The sequence below is a fragment of the Homo sapiens genome, chromosome 10 (assembly GCF_000001405.40).
Source record: "Homo sapiens chromosome 10, GRCh38.p14 Primary Assembly".
NCBI lineage: Eukaryota > Metazoa > Chordata > Mammalia > Primates > Hominidae > Homo > Homo sapiens.
Genome location: NC_000010.11, coordinates 102,506,257 through 102,530,859, shown reverse-complemented (window position 1 = coordinate 102,530,859; position 24,603 = coordinate 102,506,257). Strand labels below are relative to the sequence as shown.

Sequence of the window (24,603 nt, the reverse complement as noted above, 5' to 3'; positions counted from 1 at the left end):
GACATAAGGTTGCTTCCAAAGCTATGCCTTGGAAAATATTTTTGTGCATATTACCTCGTTTCCTTCCCATATTTGGGTTATTTCCTTGGGATTAAGAGTCACAGAAGGCCAGACATGGTGGCTCACACCTGTAATCCCAGTACTTTGGGAGGCCGAGGCAGTAGGATTGCTTTAGCCCAGGAGTTCAAGACCAGTCTGGGCAACATAGTGAGACCCCATCTCTATAAAAAATTTAAAAATTAACCAAGCATGGTGGCACAAACTTGAAGTCCTATCTACTCAAGAGGCTGAGGCATGAGGACCACTTGAGCCCAGGAGTTTGAGGCTGTAGTGAGCTATGACTGTGCCACTGCACTCAGGCTGGGCAACAGAGTGAGTCCCTGTCTCCATTAAAAAAAAAAAAAAAAAAAAAGATTTAAAATAGTGGACAAAGGTAAAGAGAAACTAAATGCCAGCCCAAGGTTATGGGCTGAAGGACTTAGGCAGAGTGTTGAGCCTGGCTTAGAGACAGGGAAGTTGGGAAGTGAGGAAGGCAGGTGTCAGACATTCTTAGTCTCACGATCTTTGGACCCTTTGGAGGTCTCTGGGTGGACTTAGGTGGAAACTGCATGAAATTATTAACATATTACTCCAGCATCCCAATAAGATGCCAGAGAGGAGCCCAGCAAAGTGGACGAGAATACACGCTGTGGAAGCAACTGAGCCCATCAAACCCCAGCTCCACCTTTCTCTAGCTGACTGGTGGGCAAGTTAACTTCCATGTGTGCAAGGCTCCTCATCTGTAAAACTGGGAGAAGAACACTCATCTCATAGGGTGGGAGGTTTTAGTGTGACAGCACAGTGTCTGGCACCTAGCAAGTGCCCTTCCACGGCAGTTAGTGTGCAACTTTCCTTTTTCTTTTCTTTTTTTTTTTTTGAGACGGAGTCTCACTCTGTCGCTAGGCTGGAGTGCAGTGGCGCGATCTCGGCTCACTGCAACCTCTGCCTCCCGGGTTCAAGCGATTCTCCTGCCTCAGCCTCCCGAGTAGCTGGGACTATAGGTGCATGCCACCATGCCCAGCTAATTTTTGTATTTTTAGTAGAGATGGGGTTTCACCATGTTGGCCAGGATGGTCTTGATCTCTTGATCTTGTGATCTGCCCGCCTTGGCCTCCCGGCTAATATTTGTATTTTTAGTAGAGATGGGGTTTTAGTAGAGATAAAGTCTCACTCTGTTGCCCAGGCTGGAGTGCAGTGGCATGATCATGGCTCACTGCTGCCTCAGCCTTCCATATTGGCCAGGCTGGTCTCGAACTCCTGACCTCGTGATCCACCCGCCTAGGCCTCCCAAAGTGCTGCGATTACAGGCGTGAGCCACTGAGCCTGGCTGCAACTTTCCTTTTCTTAGTACTCACTCAAAGCAAACTCTGCTCATCATTTATCCTTTAAAATATCAGCAGATGCCTCCAGCTTCCCTAACTTCTGGGCTCTGGATCTTAATCAGCCCAGTCCTTCAAAAGCTGCTTTCAGCTTCACCCAATTTCCTGACCTTGGGTCCCTCCCAGAACCTTCTAACCAGACCTGAGATTTCCTTTGTGAGATGCTTTGAGTCACAGCCATTACAACAGAATTCAGTCAACAACTACTAAATAAACAACTGCAGAGATTATTTTTTATTTATAATTCAAAATTACTGATACTTTATTAGACATTTGAAAATGGTGTTGGGTGACAACACAAATACTACTGTATGTAGCAAAACTTTGTAAAAATAACTTTTGAAATATGTTTATATGATAATATTCTGATATAGCTAAGCTTTTAAGCCTCCAGTTATAAAAACAAAATAATAGAAAAAAAACCCATAAATCTCGTTATATTTAATCAATTTTATATAATCTTAAAAAAAAAAAAAAAAAGAAAGGAAAAAAGCCACATCAGCGAAGACTGCACTCTCATACTCTGACCTGGGAGTCCAATAAGGCTACAGTGCAGCAGCCACCTTTGAGTTGCAACTCTGGGTTATAGAAGCTTTCTTTGCGCTATACCCCAACCAACCAGATTCATGGAATGCATTTGCCCCACTCAAGTAGATGGTTCCTGAGACATTTTGCTGGGAGCCAAAGACCATGTTCCCACAGCATTCCTCAAGTTCAAAAACAGTGGCTCCCAGCACTGATTCGGCTGAGAATCCAGTCAAATAAACTCTTCCGGCTCCCAACACTTCAGGCAGCTTAACTCTGTCCTGGGCTTTCAGTGAGCAAAGGGTTTCCTGGAATAAGACACTGAATTTTATTTTTATTTATTTTTTGAGACAGGGTCTCACTCTGTTGCCCAAGCTAGAGTGTAGTGCCGTGATCACAGCTCACTACAGCCTTGATCTCCTGGGCTCAAGTAATCCTCCCACCTCAGCCACTGAGTAGCTGAGACTACAGACACATGCCACCATGCCTGGCTAATTTTTTTTATTATTTGTAGAAATGAGGCCTCACTATGTTGCCCAGGCTGGTCTTGAACTCCTGGGCTCAAGCAGTTCTCCTACCTCGGCCTCCCAAAGTGTTAGGATTACAGGTGTGAGCCATTGTACCAGCCAAGATACTGAATTTTAGAAATTCTAAGCCAAGGGCACCAGACCCTTTCTTGCAGGGTGGTAAAAGCTCACATTCAACCATCCCCTGCTGGACATCTGTTGCACCTTCTTCCATCTACTCCCAACCACCCCCAAACTCAAAGGTCAGCCAGCCCCCAGGGGACTCCTAAGCCAGCCTGGAGCGCTACAGGAATTCTGGGCCAAGGAAGAAGCCCAGTGCTTGGGTTTCTTGGCATCAATATGGTAGCTCCCACTCTTGGCTTTGGCTTAAAGCAACACCTTTACAAAGGTCTTCTTAAAAATAAAAAAAGACAGGCTAGGCCAATGGCGACAAGATCACAGTCTGATTTGGGAAGCGAGGTGCCCTCTGTGCCTAAGTATGCAGCTTGGGGACTTCTTACTGACCCAAGAGGCAAGGCATCTACCCAAGGGCCTTTTGTCCACCCACTCTCCTCCAGAACTCTGGGAAGCCAGCCATCCCAGAAGATCAAGAAACCTAAACAGGGCAATGGGAAGAAACAAATCTTTTTGGCATTTCAGTTCCCCAAGGGCAAGGACTGTACTTTTTGTGTGTTCTGTACATGAATACATCATGTCATGGCTGAGCAATGCTAAATGGTAATAATATTCCCACTGCCACCCAAAGAGATAATCAAGCCGAGACATTCAACAAGATAAGATGGTATTAAAAAGCAATGTGCCTCCCTCTTAGTCACTATCAAAGTAGATTCAAATATCTTCATGGCTTTGAATGTCATGATGTACTATAAATATACATATATATATATATATCTTAATGGTATTTCCTTTGAGCCACTTTTGCTACTATTTCCTTTTTGGGGAAATAAAACCGTCACTCAACTCAGTTCTCCTGTCTTCATACTAAAGCTGAGGTCCCACACTGGAATGCTTCCTAAAACCCCACTCCAGCCTCCATCATATCATCCTTTTTCTTTCCTCATCAGTCAACAAATAATTTATTGAATGTCGGCCGGGCGCGGTGGCTCACGCCTGTAATCCCAGCACTCTGGGAGGCCAAGGTGGGCGGATCACAAGGTCAGGAGATCGAGACCATCCTGGCTAACACGGTGAAACCCTGTCTCTACTAAAAATACAAAAAGTTAGCCAGGCGTGGTGGTGGGTGCCTGTGGTCCCAGCTACTTGGGAGGCTGAGGCAGGAGAATGGCATGACACCAGAAGGCGGAGCTTGCAGTGAGCTGAGATCGCACCACTGCCACTGCACTCCAGCCTGGGCGACAGAGCGAGACTCCATCTCAAAAAAAAAAAAAAAAAAAAACAATAATAATAATTATAATTTATTGAATGTCACATTCTTTACATTGTCTTCAAACTCTGCAACCTCATCTTGTTCCACTGTTCTCTCTTACCAAGCCTCAGATGCACTGGCCTTCTTTCTTTTCCTTAAACACTTCGAGGTCCGTGCTGCCCTCAGGGCCTTTATACTAGCTGTTTCACTGCCTAGGACCTTCATCAGGACTCCCAGCATTGTACAACTCCAGGGGGCAGCAATTGCACAGAATAATGTGAACGGTGGCCCTAGAGTTGTACAATGTGACAGCCCTGGCTGCCACCGGTCTTTGAGGTCTCAGTTCAAATCTTCAAGGAAGCCATCACTGATTACTGCTAACAGCATCCTCCCCACCCACCTCAACCACTACTTCTACCCATGTAAGCTCCAGAGTACCATCCCTGCTTTTTTAATTTTATTTATTTTTTTAAGACAGGGTCTCACTCTGTCACCTAGGCTGGAGTGCAGTGGCACGATCTTGGCTCACTGCAGCCTCTGCCTCCTGGGCTCAAGCGATCCTCCCACCTCAGCCTCCCAAGTAGCTGGGACTACAGGCACGCACCACCATGCCTGACTAATTTTTGTATTTTTTGTAGAGATGGGGTTTCACCACATTGCCCAGGCTGCTCTCGAACTCCTGGCTCAAGTGATCCACCCCCCCGTGGCCTCCCAAAGTGCTGGGATTAGAGGCATGAGTCACCACACTTGGCGCCCTGCTTTACTTTCATTTTTTTAAGAGACAGGGTCTCCCCATGTTGCCCAGGCTGGCGTGCAGTGGCTATTCACAGGCACAATCCCACTACTGATCAGCACAGGAGTTTTGACCTACTGGGCCAGGTCACCCCTCCTTAGGCAACCTGGTGGTCCCATGCTCCTGGGAGGTCACCATATTGATGCTGAACTTAGTGTGGACACCTGACTGGCATAGTGCATAATAGCCCAGAACTCCTGAGCTCAAGTGATCCTCCCACCTCAGCCTCCTGAGTAGCTGGGGCCCTGCTTTATTTTCAACACAGCACTTGTACTATCTAAAACTATATAAAATTTTTCATGTTTCTCCAATAAGAATATAAGATTCATGAGAGCAGAAACCTTGCCTGCTTTGCTTTCCATGGTATCCTCAGCACTAAGAAAGCACTGGATATTTAGGTAATGTGCTCTAAAAATTTATGAAAATAGGCCAGGTGCAGTGGCTCATGCATGTAATCCTAGCACTTTGGGACACCGAGGCAGGTGGATCACCTGAGGTCAGGAGTTCAAGACCAGCCTGGCCAACATGGCAAAACCCCATCTTTACTAAAAATACAAGAAACTAGTTGGGCATGGTACTGCGTGCCTGTAATCCCAGCTACTCAGGAGACTGAGGCAGGAGAATCGCTGGAACCTAGGAGGCAGAGGTTGCAGTGAACTGAGATCGCAAGATCGCACCACTACACTCCAGCCTGGGCGACAGAGCAAGGGTCCATCTCAAACCAAACAAAAAAAGAAAATAAATTAAGTGCTTGACACATACTAAGCACTGTGCCAGTTGCTGGGATGGAGGTACTCCCTCACCTCATAAAGCAAGGTTCAGGCCAGATACGGTGGCTCATGCTTATAATCTCAGCACTTTGGGAGGCTGATGTGGGCAGATCACTTAAGGCCGGGAGTTTGAGGCCAGCCTGGCCAACATGGCAAAACCCCATCTCTACTAAAAATACAAAAATTAGCCAGGCGTGGTAGCGTGCCCTGTAATCCCAGCTACTTGGGAGGCTGAGGCAGGAGGATCACTTGAACCCAGGAGGTGGAGGTTGCAGTGAGCCGAGATTACACTACCGCACTCCAGCCTGGGCGACAGAGAGAGACTCCGTCTCAAAAATAAAAAATAAAATAAAATAAAATAAAATAAAGCAAGGTTCAGACAATTTTTCCAAAATCACATACCTCCTCCCACAGAAGGGTTCTGACTCCTATGAAAATGCCCTTGGAATGTCTCCTCTCCTATGGGAATAAGGGTCCAAACTGAAGAAGTGCTCTTGAATGAGCTAAAAGCTCGGGCTTGGTGCTGGGCCAGGAGAATTCTCCGTCTCCAGTGGTGAGAATATTTTTCCAACAGTCGGAAAAACCCCAAAGCAAGAGCTTCCTCCATTTTATTCATTTGTTCAACAAATATTTACTGATGTACTGGAGAAACATTAATGGATAAAGCACATTTCCATCCTTATCTTCAGGGAGCTTATGTTCTAGTGGGAAGGAGGGGGGACAGACAATAAACAAGACAAATAAGTAAGTAAGTAAAATAAGCTAGATGGTAATTTAAAAAAAAATTTCTTAAAGCATAATAGACATCGCAGAAGTGATAAGTGTTTTAAAGAAGAAATAGGCTGGGCACGGTGGCTCACGCCTGTAATCCCAGAACTTTGGGAGGCTGAGGCAGGCAGATCACTTGAGGAGTTTGAGACCAGCCTGGCCAACATGGTGAAACCCCGTCTCTACAAAAAATATAAAAATTAGCCAGGTGTGGTGGCACGTGCCTGTAGTCCCAGCTACTTGGGAGGGTGAGGCAGGAGAATCGCTTGATCCCAGGAGGCGGAGGTTACAGTGAGCCGAGATTGCACCACTGCACTCCAGCCTGGGCAACAGAGCTAGACTTCATCTCAAAAAAAAAAAAAAGAAAAGAAAAGAAAAAGAAAAATTAGGCTGGGTGCGGTGGCTCATGTCTGTAATCTCAGCACTTTAGGAGGCAAGACAGAAGGATCGCTTGAGTCCAGGAGTCCGAGACCAGCCTGGGTAACATAGTGAGACCCTGACTATACAAATATATATAACTTTTTAAAAAGAAGAATTAGGCAGGAAAGGGGGATACTGCTTTGTGGGAGGAGGGTGCAGGATTTCCTTTTTAAATAAGGAGGTCAGGGAAGGCCTAACTGAGAGAAGTTATTTGCGAAAGGGTCTAAGGAAGTGAGGTAAGGTATGAAGCTATCTGCAGGCAGAACTTTGCAGGCATAGGGAGAGTAAGTGCAAAGGCCCTGAGGTAGAAGAATGCCTGGCACTTCAGAGGAAAAGCAAGGGGGGCAGAATAGGAAGAGCAGAGCAGTCAGAGAGAAGGCCGATTGAAGTAGAGTACAAAGGACCTTAAAGGTGATGGCCTTTGGCCTTTACTCAAGTGAGACATGAAGCCACTGGATGGTTCTGAGCATGATTCATGAGATGAGTGTCCACTGGCCCTGGCTAAAGAAGGTCTAACTCCGAAGGCTCCCTGCTCAGCGACCATCTTCCTTCTGGGCCTTTTATCTACACAAAACCACTGGTTACAGGAATGAGAAATTGGCAGCTTGGCTCCAGGAGGGTGGGAATTCAGCATGTCTGCAACCTGATATATGGGAAAAGCTAGAACAGGAAGACGAGAGGGTTAGGGCAAGCCATGGTGTTGCCTGTAGGTTTTCACTACATTTTTCCTCTAACCAACCAAGCTTTGTCAGAAGCCTTGAAGAGTCAAATCCATCACAGGCCAAAAGCACAGCCAGCCAGCTCGACCCCCCTGGGACTGGTAGCCTGGGCCAAGTCCCATTCTCTAGCAGTTACTCTTCCCTACAGCCATGGCCGTGGGCAGCCTGACATCATGTTGAAAGGCCTGAGGTCAGAGTAAGAGAAACTGGTGGTCGGAGGCAGGGCTCCAAGAGGCCCCAGGTATCACATGAGGGTTAGTACTAGAAAAACAAGACATCTCTTTGATTGGCCTTCCTGTGGCTAAGCTGATTCTATGACCAGGGACTCCAAGAGACTGAGTAACATAGGAGTAGGAAGGAAAGGGATCTGTGAGGGCCACTATCTTTTACTAACATGCTAGGGGCCTGGAGTCCAGTGAACCATACCTCTCTGAGAAGCTGCTGTGAAGCTATGATCTCGCTGACAAATGGACAACTGTCTCAGCCTCAAACTCAGGCCTGGTCACATCATTTCTGAGCCTCAGGACTCCTGCTTGCCAAGAGCCCTCCACTAGGCCTCAAGCCATGGACTGCTGAAGAGGAGACAAAGAGGCACCAGGTGATAACCTAAGGCTGTGAAACTGTATCAGGCCCACCTCCCCACAATGTCTTCTAGCTCAAGGACCCTTCAGCCCAATGAGGACCAGGACCAGGTTTATGTTGCTTGTTACTACAAGCCTCATGCCCAGAACTGTGTCCCAACGATGACAATCTACGGAGCAGATTAACGTCTGGCCTTCCAAAGAAGAGAGGACAGCGATCAACGCTGGATGGGAACTAAGTGTGTCTGCTTACCCACAACCCAGTGCTAGGAAAGGACAGTGGGCCACTCCTTCTCTAGATCTCTAGATCTAGTCCTGCTGCAAACATACAGTAGTATTAAGTTATCTGACTTCCTGTGTGACAGAAGCCCTAAATGGTAGCCCATTTGTTTCAGGCAATTACCTGAAAAGGAGCTCTAGGCATTTGTGCTTATGCCTGTGAACCTTCTGTGTCCCTCGAGTACAAGGACCCTGGGGCACTCTGTAAGCCAATCTCAGTCTTCTGTACCACGCACCCAAGAAAGAGAGAAAGGAGGAGGCGTGTGGTATTTATTCCAGGTGACACTGATCACCAAATCTTGACTGTTCTAAGGGGAAAATAACAATAAAAGCAACAACTGGAAGAACACAACCCCTCAGGACAGCTACCACCATTTGTGATAGTAAAGCTGTGATCTGAGAAGTAGGCAAACAGCACAGTTCATACATATACTACCTAAACCACTCTTCACTGCTGTGAGACGTCAAGGAGGAAAAATGGGAATATCGTTAATGTAACATGGCAGTGGGTAAGAGCTATCTTCCCAAGCAAATGTGCTGTTTTCAGAATCTAGAAACCCTAGCAACAGTGGGCAAGCTGAATTCAGACAACAGCGTTAAGCAGGTAGCAGGGAAGCCTCAGAAGATGTTAAGTCCTCACTAAGAAGATGAGATGCACGCAAAGCAAAAGCCCTGTGCACAACTGGGACAGCGTCACTCCCAGTTATTTATAGAATCATTTACAGAAATCATCATAAGAACAGACATAGAATTGTAAACAAAAGGTGATAGGATTATCAGTAATTGTTTTCTCCCATTTCTAATTCCCAACATTTTTAGTAAAATGGTTCAACTGTTTTTATAAGTGAAAAAAAGCAAAATTACAACTAAGACATTGGATAACAATAACGAATTTAACAGCAAAAGGCCAGGCCAGGAAAGTTTTAGACTTTGTCTTCTTGATGCTGGTTCAACTATGAGAGTTTGAGATCTGGTTGGGGCTTCAAAGGAGCATGGTATATGCATTTCTCATCAAAGGCAAGGTTAAGCCCAATAGGGTATGGAATGGACAAATCTGCATACCAGTCTCTCTACAGTCTGTACTGGAGGGCAGAATCAATCTCAAACCTTAGGATTGAGGTTGCAAATCTCAGTAGCAGCTACACTTTATGGAAGACACCATCATTGGAGAATATAAGGTGGAGAACTCATGAGCCAGCCCCAGTTAAAACCAACAGCAACTTAGGAATTCAGAGGTAGGCCCAGCACCTACTCAGCGGATCTAACTCATTTAACGGCTTGAGAAGTGACCAAAAGAAAAATATGCCAGAAAGCATAATTAGCCCCATGGTCTGAACCCATGATGTGAGAAAAAGGTATGTATGGGCAGAGGTAGAATGGGGAGTGGCTGGAGGTTAGGAAGAAAAACAAAGATATGTCACCAAAGAAGATATACAGATGACAGACAAGCATATGAAAAGACGCTCAACAGCATATGTCATGAGAGAACTGCAAATTAAAACAATTAGATACCACTCCACACCTATTGGAATGGCTAAAATCCAAAAAACAGACAATACCAAATGCTGGTGAGGACATGAAACAATAGGAACTCTCATTCATTGCTAGTGGGAATGAAAAATGGTATAGCCACTATGGAAAATGGTTTGGCAGCTTCTCATAAAGCTAAACATAGTCTTAACATACGATCTAGCATTACATTCCTAGGGATTTACCCAGATGAGTTGAAAACGTATGTCCACACAAAAACCTGTATACAAATGTTTATAGAAGCTTAATTAAAAATCGCCAAAAAATACTGGAAGCAATCAAGATATTTTTCAAAAGGTGAAAGAATAAACTGTGGTACATAACAAACAATGGAATAGTATCAAGTGATAAAAAGAAAGGAGCTATCAAGTCACCAAAAGGCACGGCGGAATCTTAACTGTATATTACTCAGTGAAAGAAGCTAGTCTGCAAAAGTTACATACTATTTGATTCCAACTCTATGACCTTTTGGAAAAGGCAAAAACTACAGAGATAGTAAAAAAAACCAAACAGTTGTTGCCAGGGGTTTCGGGGGAGGGAGGAATGAACAGGTGGAGCACAAGGAATTTTTAGAGCAGTGAAACTAGTTTGTATGGTGCTGTGATGGTATATACATGACATGCATTTGTCAAAACCCAAGAACTGGCCAGGCACGGTGGCTCACGCCTGTAATCCCAGCACTTTGGGAGGCCGAGGTGGTTGGATCACCTGAGGTCAGGAGTTCGAGACCAGCCTGGCCAACATGGTAGAACCCCATCTCTACTAAACATACAAAAAAATTAGCCGGGCGTGGTGGCGGGTGCCTGTAGTCCCAGCTACTCAGGAGGCTGAGGCAGGAGAATCACTTGAACCCAGGAGGCGGAGGCTGCAGTGAGCTGAGATCGCACCATTGTGCTCCAGCCTGGGCAACAAGAGTGAAACTCTGCCTCAAAAAAAAAAAAAAAAAAAAAAGAAAGAAAAAAGAACTGTACAACACAAAGAGTGAAGCCTAAGGTAAACTATGGACTTAAGGTAGTAATAAGTATCAATATTGGTTCCCCAATGATAACAAATAAACCACAATAATGCAAGGTGTTAATAATAGGGGAAACTGGCCAGGCGCGGTGGCTCACACCTGTAATCCCAGCACTTTGGGAGGCCGAGGTGGGCAGATCACCTGAGGTCAGGAGTTCAAGACCAGCCTGGCCAACATGGCGAAACCCCCTCTCTACTAAAAATACAAAAATTAGCTGGGCGTGGTGGTGGGCATCTGTAATCCCAGCTACTCGGGAGGCTGAGGCAGGAGAATTGCTTGAACCCAGGAAACGGAGGTTGCAGTGAGCTGAGATCATGCCACCGCATTCCAGCCTGAGCGACAGAGCGAGACTCCATCTCAAAAAAACCCCACAAAAATATAAAGTCTATTGATTAAAAATAAATCATTAAAGGAATTTAAAAAATTTTAAATGACTATCTGCATTGATATAAGGATCACTGAGATGCTGGGCACATCCCTGACCACAGAAGCAGCAGCATGACCATGGGAACTTGCCATCTAAGCCAGAAATTTTTATGTTTTTAAAAGTTGCAGACTTTCCTGGCAACTTACTGTAAATGACTACGATAAGGTTGCAGAAGACTTTTTTTTTTTTTTTTTGAGACAGAGTTTCTCTCTTGTTGCCAAAGCTGGAGTGCAATGGCATGATCTCAGCTCACTGCAACCTCTGCCTCGTGGGTTCAAGCCATTCTCCTGCCTCAGCCTCCTGAAGAGCTGAGATTACAGGTGCCCGCCAACAGGCCCGGCTAATTTTCGTGGTTTTTTTTAGTAGAGACGGTTTCACCATGTTGGCCAGGTCGGTCTCGAACTCCCGACCTCAGGTGATCCACCTGCCTCAGCCTCCCAAAGTGCTGGGATTACACGAGTGAGCCACCATGCCCAGCCTGGTTGGTGAAGTCTTGACTTGAGAGATGACACCTGTCACCTGCTGTCCCATTTTACCCTCCTGCCATTGCCCTGAAGGACTCTTTCTTTTTTTTTTTTTTTTTTGAGACAGAGTCTCGCTGTCTCCCAGGCTGGAGTGCAGTGGCGCATCTCCACTCACTGCAAGCTCCGCCCCCCGGGTTCATGCCATTCTCCTGCCTCAGCCTCCCGCCTAGCTGGGACTACAGGCGCCTGCCACCACGCCTGGCTAATTTTTTCTATTTTTTTAGTAGAGACGGGGTTTCAGGGTGTTAGCCAGGATGGTCTCGATCTCCTGACCTCATGATCCGCCTGCCTCGGCCTCCCAAAGTGCTGGGATTACAAGTGTGAGCCACCGCACCCGGCCAGACCCTTTCTTTAAAAGCTGCTTCCAGGCCGGGTGCGGTGACTCACGTCTATAATCCCAGCACTTTGGGATGGCTTGAGCTCATGAGTTTGAGACCAGCCTGGGCAACATGGCAAAACCCAATCTCTACAAAAAGTATAAAAATTAGCCAGGCATGATGGTGCATGCCTGCAGTACCAGCTACTCAGGAGGTTGAGGTAGGAGGATGACTTAAGCCTGGGAAGCAGAGGTTGCAGTGAGCCAAGATGGAGCCAGTGCACTCCAGCCTGGGCGAGAGGGCCAGGCCCTGTGTCAAAAATAAATAAATAAATAGATAGATAGATAGATAGATAGATAGACAGACAGACAGACAGTTAGATAGATAGCTTCTACATCCAGCTCAACATTTCCCCCCACAAAGCACTTTCTGGTTAACTCTACTCAGTCTTGATCATTTCATTCCATTAATCCAAGATAACTTTGAATTTAGCAGCATAATTCTGAATAGAATTCTCCAGCTCTCTGCAGGAGGTAGAAAAAGGAGGTGGTGACTACTGGATCCAGACTGCCTGGGTTTATATCCCAGTTCCAGCATTCACTGGCTGGGTGGATGAGTTCCTTAACATTTCTGCATCTCAGTTTCCTTATGTGTAAAATAAGGATAATAAGTCCTACACCATAGAGTTGTTCTGAGGATTAAATGAGTTTATATAAAGCACTTAGAAAAGTGCCTTATACAAAGTAAGGGCTATAATTGTTTGTAATAATAATTATATGTTTAAAGTTTCTTGGAACACTGAAGATCACAGGATGAGGGGAGAGAGCCTCAAAGTCACAGGGAGACAGGAAGCTGCTCCCAGTCCCAATCCTCACTGTCATCTTCTTTCTCAAGGACCTCACCATCTCCTACCAAGCACATGCTGCATTTTTAAGGGCAGGCGCTCGGTCAGATTCTTCATTGTCTCCACACTCAAACACATCATCTTGTCCAATGTTCTGCCTGTACAGGGGACTCAAGATAGCTCTGCTGGTGAGTGTGCTGCACAGCCTGGTTCTCAAGAGCTTGGTAGGCAGGACAGCAAGCTGCAAAGTTAGTTGGACGGGTGAGGATACCATTCCTCAGGGCTGAGGTCATAGAGGATAAGATCCCACCAGACACATCTCAGGAACAACATCAGAACTGAAACAAGAAATGAAGCTGCACTGAATACCTCAGAGGCAAGATACATGAATGAATTCAGGAGTCAAGGGCCAAAGGCCAGAGTTGGGACCCCTGAATCAGAAAGGTGGATAAGGGAGAGGCTAGCAAACTCAGACCCAGGACATGAGAGGTATGGGGAATAGCATTCAAAATAGATAACAGCACAGCTTGGAAGAGGAGAGCCCAAAAGGGTGGGCTGAACAGGGAAAAATCCCGGGACTGAGAGATCAGATTGCATCAAACCCATAAAGGCTTCCAAGTCTCTTGAGGAAGAGAAGGAACTTTCCCAGCGCTGACCTACCTGGCACCACTCTGGCCTGGTAGTCACTTACAATACCACACCACTCAGTTGTTCTTTTTGTTTGTTTGTTTTGCTTTGTTTTGTTTTTTTGGACAGAGTCTCACTCCTTAACCCAGACTGGAGTGCAGTGGCGAGATCTCGGCTCAGTGTAATCTCTGGCCCCCGAGTCCAAGCGATTCTCCTGCCTCAGCCTCCCAAGTAGCTTGGTTTACAGGTGTGTGCCACCATGCCCAGCTAATTTTTTTTTTTTTTTGAGATGGAGTTTCACTCTTATTGCCCAGGCTAGAGTGCAATGATGCAGTCTCGGCTCACTGCAACCTCCACCTCCTGGATTCAAGCGATTCTCCTGTCTCAGCCTCCCCAGTAGCTGGGATTACAGGTGCCCACCACCACACCCGGCTAATTTTTGTATTTTTAGTAGAGACAGGTTTCACCATGTTGGCCAGGCTGGTCTCGAACTCCTGACCTCAGGTGATCCGCCCACCTCAGCCTCCCAAAATGCTGGGATTACAGATGTGAGCCACCATGCCCAGCTACAGGCTTTTTAGAAGTGAGTTTAGGCCAGTACAGAGGCTTACACCTGTAATCCCAGCACAAGGTCAAGAGATCGAGACCATCCTGGCCAACATGGTGAAACCTCATCTCTACTAAAAATACAAAAATTAGCTGGGCGTGTTGGCGGGCACCTGTAATCCCAGCTACTTGGGAGGCTGAAGCAGGACAATCGCTTGAACCCGGGAGGTGGAGGTTGCAGTGAGCCGAGATCGTGCCACTGCACTCCAGCCTGGCAACAGAGCGAGACTCTGTCTCAAAAAAAAGAAAATTGAGTTTAACTGGGCCAGCTGGACAAGTTTTTTCCCAACTGTTGAGGGACTCTCTGAATTGGAGAATTTGTAACCCTTACCCCATGAAGGAAGAAACAATCCATGCTGCAAATGAAATGCTTTATAAAGGATGAAGCCATGCACCCACAGACATCTGCTGGGAACCCCCACAATACAGGTCTTCCTGTAGCTACAAAAGAAAAGAAATCCCAGCACTTTGGGAGGCTGAGACGGGTAGATCACTTGAGGTCAGGAGTCTGAGACCAGCCTGGCCAACATAGTAAAACCCCATCTCTAATAAAAATAAAAAATTAGCCGGGCATGGTGGCGCACACCTATAAATAATCTCAGCAGAGTCGAGGTCGTGTCACTGCACTCCAGCCTCGGCAACAAAGGAAGACTCTATCTCAAAAAAAAAAAAAAAAAAGAAAAGAAAGAAAGAAAAAGAAAAGAAATTCTCCTCAACATTTAAAAATTCACAAATTCAGAGATTTGGGGCCTGAACTCCAACCCTAAGTGAAAGCTTTGGCCTCAGGAAGGGCTCTGGAGAGTCCCTGTTGGGCCCTGCCCCACACTGGGCCGTGACAAAGGACGCCTCACGCTTGCTTGGTGGTCCAGATCACCTGTTCTTAGCAGGGAACTCCACCATCTCATGCAAATAGTCATCCTGACACTGAACATCCCTGAGAGGAAAGGCAGAGGGACCAGGCTTCAGGGAGGTGTGCCCCCCAATGAGCCTGCAGAACACTTCTTTTAGCCTGCTAAACTTAGCCAGGGGTGGGTCCAGTGGCTTAGGGAGGCATTCTGGTTGCCAGCCTCATGAGAGCTCTAGGAGGAGGGCAAAGGTCCAACCAGAGGAGGGACCAAGCTCCCAGTACAGATGTGTATGGCGAAGAAAGGATCTCTCTTGGAAACGACATGTTAAAAAGTTCCTGCAGGCCAGGCGGGATGGCTCACACCTGTAATCCCAGCACTTTGGGAGGCTGAGGTGGGTGGATCACCTGAGGTCAGGAGTTCGAGACCAGCCCGGCCAACATGGTGAAACCCCGTCTCTACTAAAAATACAAGAATTAGCCAGGCATGGTGGCATGCGCCTGTAGTCCCAGCTACTTGGGAGGCTGAGGCAGGTGAATCACTTGAACCAGGGAGGTGGAGGTTGCAGTGAGTGAGATCACACCATTGCACTCCAGCCTGGGTGACAGAGCAAGACTCCGTCTCAAAAAAAAAAAAAAAAAAAGTTCCGGCAAACTAAGCTTTGAGGAGGAAAAATTAGCATTTCTCAACTGCAGGAGACGGAGGCCACACTAAACAACAAGTGGAAAAGTTAATCTGTATCCAGTGTTTTAATAAATAACTCATGCGGGTGCAGAGCCCAGCTAAGAAGAACACAAGGGAAAGGGAGGCTCTCCACCAACCGGGTGGAGGCAGCCCCAGAAAGCCGGTCAGCGGCAGTTCCAGACCCCACGGGGGGTGCAGAACTGCTCCAAACTCCACTGGACATGTGCGCCAAGAAGTCACATTTGTGAGACAGAGCCTAGATCACCCATGGTGGTGAGGCATGGGCATGACCCATGCTTTTGGGCCAACTCCACACAAAGGCTGTCTTTGGAACCAGCCCGACTTGTACAGCAGATGACCTGCCCTGGGAAAATCCCACCAGGGAAGTCTGCCTGAGTTCTCAAATGCACTCTCCAACTACCCAGCCTTCCAGCCTCGGTTAGGGCCCCATAGGCTCTGTCTAGCCAGAGCTGTTGGTGGTACCAGGGACAGCCAGAAATCCTCACAGAGTGATGCTGAAACCACTTCTACAGCCGCATAGATCCCCACATTCCAGTCCACAGCTAGCTGGCCATGAAGGGGAAGGCCAGAGCTGCAAGCTCCGACAGCACTTGGCAGCTGAGGCTCAGCTGTCTGACACCTCCCAAGTCCCAGGGAAGAGTCCCACAGGACAATTTCTCCACTCAGGTCAGTTGGGAGCAGCCTTGGGGTTCCTAGAAAAGCACTCTGTTCTCTCCTGTGGCTGCCCAGACCTGGAACTTGTTCCATCTCTCCAACTTCAGAAATGGCTTCTTAAGAATCTTGATCAAAACAAGTGCTCTCTTGCCTGGTTTCCTTTAGTGAATGTGAATAAGGAAAGAACTTGAATGAAAATGGCCATCCCAAGGCTTATCAAATCATCATACTCTTCATCCCTTTTAGGGTTACCAGGGTGGGCATCCCCTCCTGACCCTGAAGCATGCCTGCCAGGAGCAAGAAGAAATGCAGAGGACCCCTCGCTTCTGCCTGTCCCTACCCTCAACAGGCTGTGAGGAGAAGGAAAGATCATAATAGGAGGAGGTACACAGCAGGCATTTAATAAATGCCGTTGCCAGGAGCACTGGCTCTTGCCTGCAATTCCAGCACTTTGAGAGGCCAAGGCAGGAGGATTGCTTGAGTCCAGTAGTTCGAGACCAGCCTGGGCAACATAGCAAGACCTCGTGTCAACAATAAAAAAAAAAAAATTTGCCGGGTGTGGTGGTGCATGCCTGTGGTCCCAGCTACTTGGGAGGCTGAGGTAGGAGGATCGTTTGAGCCAGAGTGGTTGAGGCTGCAGTGAGCCGTGACCTCGCCACTGCCCTCCAGCCTAGGCAACAGAGCGAGACCATCTCAAAAATAAAAATAAAAATAAATTCATATCAGTTTAAAAAAGGAGAGGATAACTTAAAAGGAACATGAAGTAAATAATACTACAAGTGGCAACAATTATGAAAGTGGCACTAGAAGTTTTTGAAATACTGAGCTAGAAGGTTTTTCAAGTCCCTCTCACTCCTAAAAGCGTTGTTGGTACCGCGTCAGGCTGCAGATGGCATCCCAGGCCCCTTCCTACAGGGTTCCTCTCAAACGCTACCTCCTCACTGCAGCCTCTAGCAATTCAGCAGCCTCACTAGAAGTTACTCCCTCTGCTCTGCTCCCAGACCGTGTTTTACACCCATGGACTGTAGCATTTATTACTCAATATTATAACCATCTTTACATGTTTATCTCCCCTCTAGAACATGAGCTCCTTCAGACAAGAATTATGTCTTGCTATTTTATCCCCCAAGACATCTATTACGATGTTCTGTGTCTGATACAAAGTAGGTGCTTGATGAATGTGTGCTGAAAAAATGAATCAATGCTTCTGCTCCTTTTTTGCTGAAGAGAAGACACAGACAGTGGAAGAATTGTTGCCAGAGATCCATTTGCCATCATTCCAACCCAGCGCCCCTTAGCACTTAAGCTGGATGGCAGAACACTTGCCTTTCTGGCCTAGCTTTGAGTACTAATTTAAATGAGGATTCATTAAGTCATTTTAAAGAGGCCCCACCATTACGAAATGTGTGGAAAATCACATTTTTCTTCAAGAAACTTAACAGGATCAAAAAGAAACCAGTCATCCCAGTACAAAGCCAATTATAAAGGTACCTATTCGTGTTTTATTATTTTTCTTTCTTTATTTATTTTTTGAGATAGGGTCTCGCTCTGTTACCCAAACTGGAGCGCAGTAGTGCAATTATGGCTTACTGCAGCTTCAAACTCCCAGGCTCCAGTGATCCTCCCACCTCAGCCCCCCAAGCAGCTAGGGCTACGATGCACACCACCATGTCTGGCTAATTTCTGTATTTTCTGTAGAGATGGGGGAGGGTCTCACTATGTTCCCCAGGCTGGTGTCAAACTCCTGGGCTCAAGCGATCCTCCTGCCTTGACCTCCAAAGTGCTAGGACTATAGGCATGAGGCACCATGCGCAGCCTATAGAAGTACTTTTGACTTCTGCAACATAGACCAGAACTGGGTAAATATCTGAGAACATTCCTTCCACATTCTTCTAGTGCCAGGATGTAATACTGGAAAATACTAGGCTTGATTGGTGACATGAAAACCCAAATAGAGGTTTCACTCTTGTCATAAATGACATATGAATACAAAGTGCTGTACCATGTAGAAATGAAACACATGTAAGAGGATAGTATTAAACCAGAAAAAAACAATAAGAAAGGTCCTATTTCAAATTAAGAGGTTGCCCCTTCTGAAATATGAGGCTTGCTCAATCACATTCTTCATGTTATTTTGGGCCTTGGGCCTATACCTAGCAGGTAGACTGGAAGAATCCTTAAGCCACATAGGAAATGATATTCTTTTAACCAGAATAAATCTGTCAACAAAAAGGTACAGGCTAGCTGCACTAAATACTCTCTGCAGGTTCTTATTAAAAATATAAATTAAGGTCCAGCATAGTCTCTTTACTCCCCACATCTGTTTGCTATTCTATCTCCATTATTAATACTGTAATGCTGGGTCCCCATTCAGGCAAGATTAATTCCCTCTTCCCAAATCCTTCTGCTGACACTGCAATGAATCCATTTGGAAGGCTGTAAAGGCAGCTGCAGACATTGCTCCCAACACGTGACCAGCGAAGAGATGAAACCTGGGCCTCTGAGCTTAACAAGAGAGAAGAGGAAGTTGGGTTAGGCCTGTGTTCAGAGAGGTGGAATAGCCCAGTGGTTAAAAGCTCAAACTCTGAGGCTGAATACAGTGGTTCACGCCTGTAATCCCAACACTCTGGGAGGCCAAGGCAGGAAGATCGCTTCAGCCCAGGCATCTGAGACCAGCCTGGGCAACATAGTGAGACCTCAACTCTACAGAAAATTTGAAAAATTAGCCAGGTGTGGTGGTGCATGCCTGTAGTCCCAGCTCCTTGGCAGGTTAAGGTGGGATAATTGCTTGAGCCCAGGAGGTTGAGGCTGCAGTGAGCCATGACTGAGCCACTACACTCCTGCCTGGGTGACAGAGCGTGACCCTGTCTCAAAAAACAAAACAAAAAAGCTCAAACTTTGGACTCAAACAGCCCAATTCAATCCCAGCTCTTTTACCCCTAGATCTGTAACTTTAGCAATTCATTTAACCCCTCAAGAGACTCATTTTTCTTATCTATAAAATAGGAATAACGAGACCCTGATAAGATTGTAAAGCATTTAACACAATGACACGGAAGACAGTAAGTACTAAACAAAGGGAAAAAAGGCTATCATCATCTTCTTTATGATACCATCATCATCTCCAGAATTGGTCGCTATGCAAAGGCAGGACAGGACGAGTCCTGCTACTCTTTCAACCTGCCCAGGTTAAGCAGCCACCACCAAGATAGAAAAGACATGGTATAAGGGGCAAAAAAGTACAAAAGGCAAAAACCAGAAGAGGATATGACAATACAAATAAAATCAGCTCTTGATTAACCATGCTAATGAGGTTGAGGGAAGACTATTTATTTTATTTTTAATTGACAGAATACAAACATAGAAAGATTACATTTAAATTGAAGAAAAGAAACTCTCCATCAAAAGAATATAAATAAAAAAAACTTTGTTTATTTTCATTATTATTATTATTATTATTACTTTTTTTTTTTTTTTTGAGATGGAGTTTCACTCTTGTTGCCCAGGCTGGAGTACAATGGCACAATCTTGGCTCACTGCAACCTACTCCTCCCAGGTTCAAGCAATTATCCTGCCTCAGCCTCCCTAGTAGCTGGGATTACAGGCATGTGCCACCACGCCCGGCTAATTTTATTATTTTTAGTAGAGACAGGGTTTCTCCATGTTGGTCAGGCTTGTCTCAAACTCCCAACCTCAGGTGATCCGCCTGCCTCGACCTCCCAAAGTGCTGGGATTATAGGCGTGAGCCACCACACCCAGCCTAATTATTATTTTTTTAAGACACAGTTTCACTCTGTTGCCCAGGCTGGAGCACAGTGGCACGATCTCAGCTCACTGCAACCTCTGCCTCCCAGGTTCAAGTGATTCTCGTGCCTCAGCCTCCGGGGTAGTTGGGAGTACAGGCACATGCTACCATGCCTGGCTAATTTTTTGTATTTTTAGTAGAGACAAGGTTTCACCATGTTGGCCGGGCTGGTCTCGAACTCCTGACCTCAAGTGAGCCACCTGCCTCAGCCCCACAAAGTGCTGGGATTACAGGCATGAGCCACTGTGCCCAGCCAAAAAAAATCTTTTTAAAATATAGATGGTAGCAGGCCGGGCACAGTCGTCACGCCTGTAATCCCAGCACTTTGGGAGGCCGAGGCAGGCAGATCACGAGGTCAGGAGATCAAGACCATCCTGGCTAACATGGTGAAACCCCGTCTCTACTAAAAATACAAAAATTAGCTGGGCGTGGTGGTGGGTGCCTATAGTCCCAGGTACTCAGGAGGCTGAGACAGGAGAATGGCGTGAACCCGGCAGGTGGAGCTTGCAGTGAGCCAAGATCACCCCACTGCACTCCAGCCTGGGCAACAAAGCGAGACTCTGTTTCTAAAAAAAATAGTTGGTAGCTTATTGGAGTACATGATATAATTGCTCAAAAGGCAAGAGAATACAGTCATTAACAGTATGAACTCTGAGTTGGGCACAGTGGCTCACACCCATAATCCCGACACTTTGGGAAGCTGAGGTGGAAGAACTGCTTAAGCCCAGGAGTTTGAGACCAGCCTGGGCAACATGGTGAAACCCTGTCTCTACAAAAAAATTACAAAAATTAGCTGGGCATGGTGGTGCTTGCCTGTCGTCCCAGCTACTCGGGAGGCTGAGGTTGGAGGATCACCTGAGCCTAGGGAGGTCGAGGCTGCAGTGAACCATGATCATACCACTGCACTCTAGCCTGGATGACAGAGTGAGACCCTATCTCCAAAAAAAAGCATATAGGGCAACAAACGGAAGCAGACTAAGATAAAAAAATAAATAAATACAGGTTAAAAGGAAGTAGGTAAGATAGATAAAGGATAAGAGATGAACAGATTTGTGATAAAGCAAGTATAAAGTTAACAGTAGAATCTGGGTTGTGGGTATATGAGTGTTCACTATAAAATCCTTCCAACTTTGCTTTATGTTTAAAATGTTTCATAATAAGCTAGGGGAATAAAAGGAAGTAGACACAGAGGCATCAGCCCAAGTTCTGAGTCATAACCATGCTACCTTCCTGTCCTATGAGCCCAAACTCCAGGGCAAGCTTAGAAAAACCTGATTTGGGAATCCTGCTCATCAAGACTTTCCTGCACTAGATAAGCAGGAATCAGGTGTTAACGAGGACCACCTTGGCATGAGTAGATATAGTCAGAGGGCAGAAATGCAGAGGTTCCACGGAGAAGTACCATGCTCACAGCACTATGACATTGTCACCCCTGCTCAGGAAGACCTCAGGAATAAGGCTCTGGATAAAGAACAGGTGGCATATACTCACTCATGGACTCTGTTGTCACCATAGAGATCACTCAGGCCGAAGCTGATGTAGTGCCAGTGCTCGGGGATGTTAGCAGAAGGGCTCCCCACATTCCTGTACATGCTAACATAGTCCAAGGGGTCTGGGCCACCCAACCTGCAAAAAACAAAACACAGGGGTGTTAGTGTAAGCCTGGAAATCAGACAATGTCAAGCTAAGGCGCTCTACTTTGTAAACCTAAAGGACCCATCCTGGAGGAACCTGGGTGAAAGGTAACTAAACAGAGGCCACATCTCTCCAGAATGAGACTAAGGGATGGACAGCTAAGGCTGCCCAACTCTGCAAGCCCAAGAGGCTCCCTTCTCCTACCCCTGAAAGACTGGGCCTCTTTTAGAAATAAAACAGACTGGATGGTTACCCATTTTGCTTTCTCCTGTTTCAAATTACCGATCCCAAATGAGATTGGCAGGGATTGTCTCTCTTCTGTGGTGCCTGTATACATGCCAAGCTTCAAGGCAAGAGGTACATCAGTCAATCAATTGGCCTCTGTTGAAAGACCATCCCAAGCATCCCCAATGGGCATTGTTCCTGGAAGCAGAGGCTCTGCTCCACTCCAGCCTCTTAGACAGCTAATTCCTGAAAGACTATATTGTGCCCTATGTTAATTACAGTTTGTTCTAAACAAACCCAAAGCCTCTAGTCTGTGCTGACACCAGCCTGCACCCCATAGACCAAAGCTGGTCTCTTATCATTGCAAGTGACAAAGGCCAAACTTAGGCTTAACTTAGTTCTGCACAGAGAACTGCAGAAGGAGTCAAACTGCGCCCTGTGAGCATCTGCACCCAGAAAATGATCCCAGGAGAGACTGCCACATCAAAGGTAGAGCTGGGATGGTAAATGATTTGGGGCCTCTCAGGACCACATTAAATTTCCCCCACCATTCAACTGAGAAGGAGTTGCGGAAGAGATTCAGTTATTATCTCACTCTGAGGATTTAATACAATAAGAGTTCCCTTTAGTAATCAGTGCTTTTTAAAAAAAATCCTGTTTTGGCCGGGCACGGTGGCTCACACCTGTAATCTCTGCACTTTGGGAGGCCGAAGTGGGTGGATTACTTGAGGTCAGGAGTTTGAGACCAGCCTGGCCAACATGGTGAAACCCCATCTCTACTAAAGATACAAAAAATTAGCCAGGTGTGGTGGCAGGTGCCTGTAATCCCAGCTATTTGCTATTTGAGAGGCTGAGGCAGGAGAATCGCCTGGACAACAGAGGCAGAGGTTGCAGGGAGCCAAGATTGCGCCACTGCACTCCAGCCTGGGTGACAGAGTGAGACTTTGTCTAAAAAAAAAAAAAAAAAAAAAAATGGATAAGAAATTTTGGTAGCTAGAGAAATAGACCAAATAGAAACCATCAGTGGAAGGAAGTCTGCATTTAGCCCACAAACACGGCATTTGAGCTGCCTCAAACATCTGACCATTCCACAGACTGCAAAAGCTTCACCTGCCCCTGGGACATCGATGGAGTACACTTTGCAACTGGGATAGCATGCTGGTGGAAAGCTAACAACCAAATAAAAGACATGTTACAAGTGATCCCAGTCAATGGTGCCAGCACCAGGCAATTTAAACACTATTTAAAACCAGTTGGTCTTGTTTCGTCCTCTTTCACCAGGATATTATTTGCCTTTGTGGATAGAAATCCCTATTCTCTGTTAGGAAATGCTAAGTTATTTATAGAACTTTTAAGAAAGTTGCTACAAATAGCTTAGCATCTCAACAGAGGAAGAGGGACAACTCTCCATGTCTGCCTTAACTGATTTCAACAAATCACTTGACTAATTCTACAACAGGTTGGATTTAGAAAAGTTTGTGGGGCAAGGGAAGAAAGAAAAGAGTAGAGATCCCTGGAAAGACCCCATTAGAGCTACAGAACTCCAGAGCAGATGAGAGCCACTACAGGCCCCATACCTGCTCCAGTTTCCTGCTGCAAATTTCCAAACCTGCCCCGCTACAGCCTAGGTCCATCCTGCACCAAGCTGCAAAACTGTGTTTACCATTCTCTGCTCCATCTGCAGCATCCCTGCAGCCCTCTTTCTCACCAAGTCTCCCACAAGGTGTCACATCAAGGAGAGAAGCTTAACCTTCAAACTCCAACTGCAAGGAACTACCAAGAGTCAGATAAAATTAACCCTGTCCCCAAGCACAGAGTATTCTGTTTACTTACTACTCAGAGGCCAGATGAGTATGTGGAAAAAAATCGCATTTTACACTTAGCAAATGATGTTATCCAAGGTCCCAGGGCATCCCTCAACTTAATTCCTTGAACACCCAACTTCTCTCTGCAGGGCAGTTGCAGGACTGAAGTGGGCCATGAGTACAGGTTCTGCCTCTCTGCTTTGATCCTTGCTCACCAAAGTCTCAGCTTTCAGTTAGAATGTCCCCACTACTCAGGGATCACCAGTCACAGAGCCACACTGCTATTGCAAAATGAATCCCAAGCTACCCTGGGCCACAGACAGACCCAGACAGCCTGGGTCAGTCATCCTGCTAGAAACCTCGTGGGATCCCAAATGTGAGGAATATAAATGAATTTCAGGATCTTATTTTTGCAAACCCCTCCACATCTTAGAAAGTACCAGTCACTGATGGCTGGTCGCACTGGCTCACGCCTGTAATCCTAGCACTTTGGGAGGCCGAGGTGGGTTGATCACTTGAGGTCAGGAGTTCGAGACCAGCCTGGCCAACATGGTGAAACTCTGCCTCTACTAAAAATACAAAAATTAGCTGGGCAAGGTGGCGTGTGCCTGTAATATCAGCTACTTGGGAGGCTGAGGCACGAGAATCGCTTGAAACCGGGAGACAGAGGTTGCAGTAAGCCAAGATCGTGCCACTGCACTCCAGCCTGGGTGACAGAGCAAAACTCTGTCTCAAAAAAAAAAGAAAGTACCAGTCACTGTGCTGTTTCTCTTTATACTTTTCTGCATCTAGGAAGGGCTTTCACAAAGTGCTGTATAATCCCTTTTCTTCATTATCACATGTTGGCCCATCTCTGAAGATATGGCTGTTAAC

At 46.3% G+C, this 24,603-nt stretch overlaps 1 protein-coding gene across 12 annotated transcripts in view, besides 1 other annotated feature; it reads right to left on the bottom strand.

Moving 5' to 3' along the window:
* The window catches only part of SUFU (SUFU negative regulator of hedgehog signaling), a 130,717-nt gene that overhangs the window by 102,676 nt on the left and 3,438 nt on the right, over positions 1 to 24,603 (bottom strand). For 11 of the 12 annotated variants that reach the window (XM_047425335.1, XM_011539863.4, XM_047425336.1 and 8 more), the window contains one exon: positions 21,557 to 21,691. In XM_047425335.1, the coding sequence (XP_047281291.1) occupies positions 21,557 to 21,691 (135 nt within the window). Of the gene's footprint in view, positions 1 to 21,556; positions 21,692 to 21,953; positions 22,582 to 24,603 lie in introns of those variants that run through there. The other variant, XM_047425339.1, reaches the window with a different exon arrangement.
* Positions 18,554 to 18,693: an enhancer, noted in NCBI's record as "active region_3939". NCBI's record gives its function as "activates an Ori minimal core promoter by ATAC-STARR-seq in GM12878 lymphoblastoid cells {active_cell/tissue: GM12878}" and the evidence as "EXISTENCE:reporter gene assay evidence [ECO:0000049][PMID:35858748]".